Source organism: Homo sapiens, chromosome 17 (genome assembly GCF_000001405.40).
Source record: "Homo sapiens chromosome 17, GRCh38.p14 Primary Assembly".
NCBI lineage: Eukaryota > Metazoa > Chordata > Mammalia > Primates > Hominidae > Homo > Homo sapiens.
In genome coordinates, this window is record NC_000017.11 from 70,508,904 (window position 1) to 70,520,736 (window position 11,833).

Consider the following 11,833-nt stretch of genomic DNA (forward strand, 5'->3'; position numbering starts at 1 on the left):
AAGTAGAGACTGCTATAACTTTAAAATCTCCTAAGAGTGTTTGTGCTGCCCATTCTTAAGGACCCAGGGATTATGGTTATTCTCTCTGGGAACACGAATTCAAATCTTTCCATCCTTTTCCATTAGATTTCAGTCTCCCATCATTTCTATTGATTACTTATCACTCTGAATAGGAGAAGAGCATTTAATTACACATCAGTAGAAATGCATGAGTTATAATTCCACCTCAGTCATCTTTAAATAGCCCAGTTGCTTCCATTAGGTACTTGTAAGACTTTAGGAAAAACAGTTTCCCTGTGGATTTCTTCTTAATTCTCCCTCATCTGTAGTCTACCTGGTAGGGCTAGTTGGTCTCTAGGGTTCCCTTCAGTTTCAGTTTCTGATCTAATACATCTTTAAGATGGGAATGAACTTTCTAACAAAGCAGGAGTTGTCACCTTCTTTACACCCAAACGAGTGTTTGGGTGCCTTTCTTAAGATTTCAGATGCCACAGAGATAGTTCCTTGAGAGGTGACATAGCTTAATGGTTACAGGAACCAAGTAAGGAGCCAGATTGCTAAGACTGGAATCTTGTCTCTGCTACTTAATAGGTCTGTGACTTTAATTAATTACCTTACTTTTCGGTGCCCCCATTTTCTCATTGTAAAATTGGGAGTGTTCACCTCCTAAAGTTATGGTTAGGAATACAGTGTTAACCAACGTATAGTAGTTAAAGAAGTGCCTCCTGGAAAATAAGTGCTATGTGAGTGTTTCTCAGTTGTAATCATTACCTCTTAATAACAGAAAAGAGGAAGTTGCAGATGGTAAACACATTTAATTTTGTTCCTAAAGTGCTGTTCAATTTATGGGAACTTAATATTAAATCATAGGTTAAAAAATGAAGTGTCAGTGATAAAATTATCATAATTTGTAGATAATAGAGTTATTGGGAAAATTCAAAAGGCTTATACGTGAAGCCATTCCAAACGCTAAAGCAGTTGAAAAAGCAATAGATTTTTTTTTTTTTTTGCAGAACAATATTAAAGGTTACAAAAATAATGAAAGAAATCTCCTTCACAATGGAAGCAAATACAAAATACCTAGGAATAAATGTAACAAAAATTCATTTAACTAATGAAAATAAAATGAACTGAAAAATCAAATAGAAAAATTAAGGGAAAGATATTCGAGTTGTGGGTTGGAAGCCATAATGTTCTCAAGATGTCAGTTCTTCATATTTTAATATAGGTCAGAGCAGTGCCAATAAATATCCTCACCCACTTAAAATATGTGAATTTTATATGTAAGAACTTCTTCCCAAGTTTTTACAACTGACAAAATGATTCTAAAATTTATCTAAAAGACTAAGTAAATGAATAATGCAACAAAGAAATAATTTGAGAGAAATTATCTTATTAAGTAATAAAATACTGTATGTTTGGACTCACAATGGGTATTCAGTTTAATGGAAAAGAATGGATAGTCATTAATAATACAACATGGCAGCCAGCCTTCAAGATGGCCCCCACATGCTCCTTGTCTCTTGGTGTTTGTTCATGTTCTGGTGTCTTCTCCTCCCACTTGGAATAGTGCTGACCACGTGAAAAATAGGATATTGTTGAAATGACCATGTGGCTTCTGGTGTTAGGCCATGAAAGACATTATGGCTTTTGCCACGCTTTCTTCTGCATCACTTGCTATATGCAGTAACAGGTAACTAATATACCCAGGTATACACAGTCATGCATAACTTAATAACAGGAGAGCATTCTGAGAAATGTGTTGGCAGACAGTTTTGTTGTGTGAAGATCATAGACTGTACTTACACAAACCTAGATGATATAGCCTAGTGCACACCAAGGCTATATGATATAGCCTATTGCTCCAAAGCTACAAACCTGTACAGCATGTTACTGTACTGAATACCATAAGCAATTGCAACACAATGGCAAGTATCTGTGTATCTAAACATAGAAAATGTACAGTAAACATATGATATGACAGTCTTATAGGACCACTGTAGTATATGCAGTCTGTCGTTCACCAAAATGTCATTATGTAGTACATGACTATATATAAGGGTTAATAATCATATGGATTGCGCTTCAGTGGGAATAAAGAGGTTATCCATTAATTTTGTTTCACCAAAGACTAAATTACAGACCTGATATAGATAAAAATGGTAAGGAGAAATATAAAACCACCAAAGTATTTGGGAAAAAAAAGTAGAATTTATAATTCTGGACTTCAGAGAGCTTTTATAAGCATTATATCCAAATGGATTTTAAAAAGGAATATACTGATAGACTTTGAATCATAAAATATAAACTAGTAATGCATTGAAGAATATAATAAACAAAATGAAAAGAGAAAATGACATCTCTATGGTAGATAGGCCAATCGTATATATATACATAAGTTCATAAATTTTTACAAAATAGCTAATATAATGCAACATTAAGTGAAAAAGGTAAAACATCAAGACCAATTGAAGTTTATCCCAAGAATGAATGGCTGATTTGCATTTGAAAATATCCTTTTGAAATTGTGGTTTCAACTCAGGCAAATCATGTAATCTCTTTAAACCTCTTGCCCCTCAGTTCTACAATAAGAATAAAAGGTCCTGAAGGCACCAGTTCTAGTGTTTTATAGCATCCTAGGATGACTGTAGTTGACAGTAATAGATACCTTTAAATAGCTAGAAGATATTAAATGTTTCCACACAAATGATAAAAATTTGAGATGATGGGTATACTAAAAAAAAAAAAGAAGAGAAAAAAAATAATTACCCTGATCTGATCACTGTACTTTGTATGTATCAAAACATAACTCTGTATGCCATAAATATACACAGTAATTATATGTCAATTGAAAACTTAAAGATCATGGAAGAAAATTCTGATTTCAAACTAGGGAAAACGTTAAAATCTTAAAACATGCTACAGGGTATAACCTATATCTTAAGAAATAAAAAGCTTACTAATGAAACTTTAAAAATATTTCCTTTTTAATATGTAACAAAACAAAGATGTTTATCATTATCATTTCTATTTGACATTCTAGTTGGGGTTCTAACTAAGGCACTTAAGAAAATAAAAAAGGCAGGTGCGGCGGCTAACGCCTGTAACACCAACACTTTGGGAGGCCGACGTGGGTAGGTCATGTGAGGTCAGGAGTTTGAGACCAGCCTGGCCAACATGGCAAAACCCCACCTCTACTAAAAATACAAAAATTAGCTGGTGTGGTGGTTCATGCCTGTAATCCCAACTACTCAGGAGGCTGAGGCAGGAGAACTGCTTGAACCCAAGAGGCGGAGGTTGCAGTTAGTTGAGATCGCACCACTGCACTCCAGCCTGGGTGACAGAGCAAGATTCCATCTTGAAAAAATAAATAAAATAAAAAAGAATGTAAATGTTATAAAAATGAAAAGGAATAGCATCTGCTATATTAACACATTCTATAATTGGCTATATAAAAGTATAGGAGAAAAAGCATAGGAAAATTATGAAAAGAGACTTAAACAATTTTGTTGGATCTATAACTGACGAGAGAAATCAAATGCAATTGTATACACCTGAGACAGACAAAAAAATTCAAGATATGTAGTTCAGAGAATCAACAGTTATCTATGTATAGATCCTACAAAAGCCCTTTAAGGGGAAATTTGTAAAACTAATATGCAGATATTAAAATAAACCTAAATAAAGGGAGACAATCTCACTGATAGGAAGTATCAATATTCTAATGATGTTTATTCTACCCAGTTTCTTCTATAGATTCAGTGCAATTTCAATATAAATATCAGCAGTGTGTGAATTTTTATGGTATGCTAACAAGAATAAAATATGATTTTTAGTGTCAGAGAAAATGAACATATAAAACATTCTTTTGACACTGCACTGTTATTTTTAAGAACCAAGATTCTAAGAACATAAACAGTATATAGTTGTTACTTTAAAGAAGGTAGGAAATCTTCAGGTTTGCAAACTGCTGCAACATTTCAAAGCAAATATCCATAGGTTTAGCAATAGAAATTTCATTAGTTTGCTAGGGATGCTATAATAAAGTACCACAAATCAGGTGCCTGAAACAACAAAAATGTATGTCATCACAAATCTGGAGACAAGAAGTCCAAGAGTAAGGTATCCTTAGGGTTGTTTCTTCTACGTCCCCTCTCCTCAGCTTATAGGCGCCATTTTCCCCTCCCTGTGTCTTCACTTGATCTTCTTTCTGTGTGTGCTTGTGTCCTGATCTCTTCTTATAAAGACACAAAATATATTGAATTAAGGACTCATATGAACTCATTTTACCTTAATTACTTCTTTAAAGGCCCTGTTTCCAAATACAGTCACATTAAGAATTACAGGGTTTATGACTTCAACATGTAAATTTGGGAGGGAACACGATTCTGCCAATAACAGAAATTAAATTGAAAGATTATTGCATTCAGCTGAAAAGAGCACTATTTTTGTTTGAAGCTCCTATGGATCAATTACTAACAAGAAGGACAACTTAATATTTTCCTTTAATCAAGATAAAGTGATAGAATGCATAAGTAGGAATTTTGAATTATATGCAAATCATGAAGCCACTTTCAGCTTATAAGACTCAACAAATTGTAGGACATCAAAGGAAATATATTACAAGGCGATTGAATAAATTCACAATAAAATTCACAATTTAAATTAAATTCAAACTTCCATAAAAATGATTTCTCTGAATAGTTAAATTTTTGAAGGAGGATTTTTCTGGGATAATTTATATTTTGAAATAACTTATTTTAAAAGTATCCTCAAGTTGTCACAGCCTACAAAATACTTCTAACAGCTCCAGTAATAGTTACGCTAGCAGAGAGATTCTTCTCAAAATTAAAAATTTTCAAAAAATATTTGCAAACTTGAATTTTCCAAGAGGAACTAATGCTGCTTTCAATCATACCAGTTAAAAATGTAGCTGCTAAAAGTATTTACATTTTAAGGAACAAATATTTTTGCAGAAAAGTGAACCAAAAACATTTTCTTATTAAGATACCACATTACAAAGTATTATTATTTAGTTTATTATATAAAATTATGACCTCAAAATCACTTTTTTGTAATTCACAAGTTTACATTGTTATGATATACTCATGTATCGCTATTATCCCTATTACATTTTGTAAGTTTATATATTTTAAAGAAAAAAATTTCTATTTTAATATCTCCAAGGCATTTTTTCTCTGCTTTTTGATTAGGGCTCCTACATTTGCATTTTTCATTGGGCCTTGCAAATTATGTAGCTGGTCCTGCCTGGTAGATTTGGGACCATGTCAAGCCAAGAGGGGAGTTACTCTGGGATTTATCCTTAATGTTCTCTTTACAAGCACATGAGATAATTTAACCTTGGGATGTTGGTAAATTAACATGACAAAGAGATTTATGCTTTCAGAGAAATACAAAATAAATCAGGGTGGAGATATTTACAAGTCAGAATGTTTCTATGGACCATACCACTAGTCTAATATAAAATATTACAATCTACACATAAGCAGAATGGGACATTTTTTAAGAAGGGAAAAAGAAACAAATTAAAATAAAATATTAAAATCTATATAAAAAATACATCAGTTAGAACAACGAAAAATGTTCAGCCTGAGAACACGGAAGAAATTGAGTCTTAGAAATACGGCGCGGTGGCTCAGGCCTGTAATCCTAGCACTTTGGGAGGTCGAGGCGGGTGGTTCATGAGGTCAGGAGATTGAGACCATCCTGGCTAACACAGTGAAACCCCATCTCTACTAAAAATACAAAAAAAAAAAAAAAAAAAATTAGCCTGGCATGGTAGCGCAGGCCTCTAGTCCCAGCTACTTTGGAGGCTGAGGCAGGAGAATGGCGTTGATCCCGGGATGCGGAGCTTGCAGTGAGCCTAGATCGCGCCACTGTGCTACAGCTTGGGCGACAGAGGGAGACTCCTTCTAAAAAAATAAATAAATAAAAAGAAATATACATGAGCAGAGTGCATCCTTGCATGGTGCATTTGAGACAGAGTCTTAAAGAATTTTATGCCTATTTTGGTTCCATTAAACAAGCTTCTGCTATTTGGTCCTCTAGTTACTAAAAGGCCCTCTGATTACATTTTCCAGTGGGATTATATTCAGGGACATAATATGCTAAGTGCACTTTACAGAATATTCCATTTTATGTGATCATTTGGTAGTTTTTTTTCTTATCAAATGAATAATTTGCCCAGACTGGTATGATAGGCTGAATAGTATCTGAGTTTCAAGTAGCTAAACCTAAGGCTCACTTTCATCCTTGAAACTATGTAAACCAAAAGAATTGACATAACATAATGAGATCAGCTACTATGAAAAGTACAAATTAGGTAAAATTTGTCAGTATTTAACCTCTCCTTGCTTTTGCTATTTTTGGGGGTGGTACGCCTCTCCAGGCATCCAGTCCTCTCTTGTTAAACAATGGATCATTAAAACCTACCAGTGTGTTTTCTAACTCAGCCTCGGCATTGTCCTTTACTTGAGACCAGCGTTTCCTTGAATGACTGTAATTAGAATAAACTTGGAAACTTCCAAATACAGATTTCTAAACTACACCTTCCCTTCTGGACCTCGCAAGTTAGAACCCCCCAGAATTGTTCCTTTGAACAAATTACCAATTTAAATAGTATCATAAATCGGAACATAGATGGTATAGAGATTTGGACTGTAAGCCACTGCTTTATGTATTTCCTTAATGCTTTTATCACAGCCTTTTTGGACTACATACTATTTTGCATTCTGCCCTCTTCCAGTTTTAATGTTTATTAAAAGTAATAGTTTAAGTAATGTAGCAGGTAAATAATGTATAATGCATACTCTGCAGCTAGCTAATAGTGAAATCACGTTAAAATGAACAAGACCCACTGGGAAACCACTGTGAATTAAAGACTCTCTGTGAGTGATTAGGGATATATTAGCATGTGGTCCCACCCGTTGAGCCTAAATATGTTTCCTAAAACTCATACAGCTAATCTTATATTAATATAACAATGATGATGATCATTATTCTTTTATTGCATATCTTCATTACTTATGGATTAAAAAGTCTTGAAGTAGATACAAAGTTGATAAACTGGAGAATTTGGCAAAAGTTATAAGCGTTGGGCTGAGCCTGATGGCTCATGCCTGTAATCCCAGCACTTTGAGAGGCCGAGGCGGGTGGATCACCTGAGGCCAGGAGTTCGAGAACAGCCTGGCAGGTGAAACCCCATCCCCACTAAAAATACAAAAAGTAGCCAGGTGTGGTGGCACACAACTGTAATCCCAGCTACTCAGGGGGCTGAGGCAGGAGAGTCACTTGAACCCGGGAGCTGGAAGTTGCAGTGAGCCCAGATCGTGCCACTGCACTCCAGCCTAGGAGACAGAGCAAGACTCCAGCTTAAAAAAAAAAAAAAGTTATAAGCCTTGATTGGTCATGAGATCTGTAAGCCCAGGGATGAATTATAAACTGGGAAGGAAAAGCTGCAGACAGGGGAAGTGAGTGGACATAACAGCAAAGATTGAAGGAGCAGATTGGTAAGATCATTGCCTCTGGGAAGTTAGTGGGGAAAAAAATGGTCTTATGAAACTACCTTGAAAAAGTTATTACTTTTACTATTTGGCTTTCTGTGCCATGATCCACTCAGTCCCTGCTGTATATAAATGGTGAAAAATTGCAGTAACTTACAGAGCATCCATGAAATTGAAGTGGCATCCAGTGATATCTATCAGCTTTTAAATTCCCAAAGAACCCCACAGTAAATGTGAATATAAACTTCCCAGTGGTCTAATTCTTCTTTAATAACATCCTCCAGTATGTTATTTTAGGTTGCCTAACCGAGACAGTGGGGTATAGAGGTTGAAAGGACAGCAAAAAATAGTAAAAATTAGAGTGGAAACAAGTGGGAAAGTATTGTTGGAATTATCAGGTCATGTACCTAACCCTTATAACACTGAAGAACTTCAGGTACACACACTGGGGCCTGTTGGGGTGTGGGGTGGGGAAAGGAAGCATTAGGAAAAATAGCTAATGCATGCTGGACTTAATAACTGGGTGATGGGTCGATAGGTTCAGCAAACCACCATGGCACACATTTACCTGTGTAACAGACCTGCACATCCTGCACAAGTACCCCAAAACTAAAAATTAAAATTAAAAGAAAGATAAAAGAACCCAGGTAGTGATTTTTGGTTTTAGCACCATCATTTGACATACTTATACAATGAAAATCCAATGAATACCTCACTCTCTGTTTCCCAGGAATCTTCATGAGGAAGGTTACTCCACCAGCACTTAGGTCCCTGATTTATAAAGATACTATCAATTATGTTCCCACCCTTTCAAGATGGGTGCTCAGAAAGAAATTTCATGCCACGTGGTTATAGCACCACACTCTGTTGCTTTGTTCCGGGATTTAGTATGATCCCTCTTTATTCATTGCTCTGAACCAGACCAGGTGTCATATTAAGGACCTTAGATATACTGCAGGAATCTCTCTCTGTCTTGCTCTCTTTCTCTTTTACACACACACACACACACACACACACACACACACAATTCAAAACTGAGATATTCCAAGATGAACACTAATAAGTAATAGAGACATGATGCAAAGATACCTTAAGTGGAAGGGGATTTAAAAATGAGAGGATCAAAGAGGCAAGTGCATAAAAGAACTGGGTAGAGAGATAGCAGGGGAGTGCAGGAGTAGTCCTGCCACCAGACGTTGTTTCAGCAGCTGGATTTCACACATCCTTCTTTATGACATTACAGGACAGTTCAATACCCAATGTGAAAAAAGTCTAAGATCATTTTCCAATCTAGCCTTATTGGTTCCCATATGTACTACATCCATCTTCAACATCCAACATATTATTTTCTGAAGAGTCTAGGAAAATGATTGTCCAGAGGATGGATGGAAAGAAAATTTGTTCTCCTATCTTTATAGTTCTCAGAATTACTATTTATTTCAAAGATTGATCATCTGTGTTTTGAGACTGCTGTTTACCAATGACAAACAAATGTATTTTCCCCATTTTTCCTAACTGCAATTGTTTAAACAAGCATATCATTTCCTTGTATATGTTGTGTGTCTTTAGTTAGTTTTGTAATAAACTTCCTGAATCACAGTGATAACATGACTCATGACAAGACAGTGTGTCTTTTATTGTGTTGGGGAATTTTAAAGTTAGAAAAATCAATCATTGCTGAAATAAAGAGACATTAATAGAAACTAGGACTTTATGTCTTTATAATGCTTTGGTAGTAACAGATCACAAATTAAAATGTATAAATATCATTCTACCTTTTAAAGGTCTAAAACAAAGGAAGCCTGATACAATTTTGGAAGTCTTTCTGAAAGTGTACTTTTTTTTTTTTTTTTTTTTTTTTTGAGACAGGGTCTCACTCTGTTGCCCAGGCAGGAGTGCAGTGACGCCATCATGGTTCATTGCAGCCTCGACCTCCTGGGCTCAGTTGATCCTTCTGCCTCAGTCTCCTGGGTAGCTAGTACTACAAGCGTACACCACCATGCCAGGCTAATTTGTTTCTTAAATTTTTTGTAGAAGCGGGGCCTCACGTTGTTGCCCAAGCTGGTCTCAGACTCCTAGGATCAAGCAATCCTCCTGTATTGGCCTCTCTAAGTGATGGGATTACAGGTGCAAGCCACTGTGCCCAGCCTTGAAGTATAAGTACCTTTTAGAAATAAATGCAAATACATCTTATTTCTTGGGATTCTGTATAATGCCAAACTAATATACACAACATAGACTCCTTTCAGGCCAATTTATGATATAAAATATTTTAGAATTCTTCAGGATTTGAATGAAAAAGAATGAAGTGGAACTATCTAAGACAGAAAATTTTTTAAAAAAATCAAAGTTTGGGTAATGTTTAGAGACGCGTGTGTGTGTGTGTGTGTGTGTGTGTGTGTGTGTGTGTGTCTTCCACTTTAATCAGTCTCTATGCATTTTGCTTCCAGGACAGGAATCCAAACTCCAAGATTCCAGGGAAAGGTCTATTTAGGGGAATGTTTGGCCACTTTAATAAAAATAAAAGACAGATAATCTCATAAAATAACACTTTTATATGAAATTTCCACCATAGATTTTCAGCCCAAAGAAGCTGAGATGAGCTGCCCAGCGGTCTGCATTTTTCCCCATTTTTTTCTACACGAGGGTGGGTGAGGAAAGGGTGGCCACTGGAATTATTTGGAACAGTAACTGTCACAGGATTCTCTTTCCTTTCCTCTTCCTTTGCAGCCAACTTTTTTTTTTTTCACTCCGGATTCTATCAACATCTAAAATCCCCAGTACCTCTGCTTTGTGACTTGGTATTCTGGAATTTTACCAACTGTTTGCCCCTCAACCATCGTGGAAGAATATCTTTATTTCTTGGAAGAGCGAAGAATGACGTACCGCTCATCCCTTTCCACATTTCTTCCACATTCATTTTCATTTTGTTCACATAAAAAATGAAGTCCAGTGCTTTGGTGGACAGACAGAAAGACAGACATTGGTGTTCAAAAATCAAGCCTGACCTTTTGAAATAAACCAGATCAGATCTTTGCACTGTGGAAAAACCATTTCCACAAAAGCAAGAGTGATTTTATGACGTCATGACAAGACCAGCAGTCAAGCATTCCACCAAGGAAATTTTTTGTTGCTGTTGTTTCTAATAAAATGTTTTTATTTCCTGTTTTTGATTTTTTTTAAAGAAAACATAATTTTCTCTTAAAATGAATGACTTTTTGTGTGTGAATCACTATTTGTGAACCAATGAAACACTAAAGCATGACAATGCAACTGAGGCTTTAACACGTGTGTTCACTGGAGAATATCTTAATATATGCTCCTATAATAGAGCAGGTTTGTTTTGCCTTAAAATTAGGTGGCAATGTATATCTAATGCTTAGGATAGAACATGGTGCCTAAATTTCTGTCAACCATATACAATCATGTGTTTGCTCTATGTTAATGTCGTGGGTACTGACATTCTCTCTAAAGTGAAACTTTTAATGTAATGTAAATTATTTCTTTGTCTCATAACCTCAGTAGAGTGAAATCCTAAATTCAGTGGGTTATTTAAATATTTTCTTAAACTCATTAAAATAAACACCTATTATAATCAAAAAGGCATATCTATGCCTTTTTGGAAACACTTGGTTAACACATGATGGGAGAAGTGAGGTTTTCTCTGTGAGTCTCCATTCTGATTTAGGCTCTCACGCCATTTTCCTTAGTACTAGGTACTCCCAAGCCTTTATTCATTTGAACACTTTTGACAACGTGTCTTAAAAATTATCGTCAGTGTTTTTCTTCCTAAGTGATTAAAGAGATGCCTTAACTGGCAAGAACGGATGTCCCACTGTTTTTTGACTATCTAGGCAGCTCTTTGTTTTTTGTTCTAATAGTCAAAGCAGAAAAAAAAAAATCCTTAAATATATCATGCTACTATTTATTTTAAAGAGAAGTGCTGTTTGAGGGAACGATACTTGTTTACATCAGATGGAAATCGTATTAGTACAGGCACATTTCTAAATTCAAATTCTAAATACACCTTTGTCCAAGGGGTACGAAGGCCTTGTCATGAAAGCTGAGTTGGAACTGGACGGTCGCACAGCATTGCTTTTGTCTGACTTCCATTCTAATCTGTTGACTTTTAAAATTGAATGAGAAACATTGTTTCCTGATAAGAAGAGAGAACATAAAAGGCTGGGAACACAATAAGGGATAGCATTACTCACCTTGGAGAACAGGACTTCCAGGTGCTCTTGTCATTACTGTTGTCATCGGTGAAGAGTTCAACTGATAGATAGCTCCGATTCCTGAAACTCCTATCA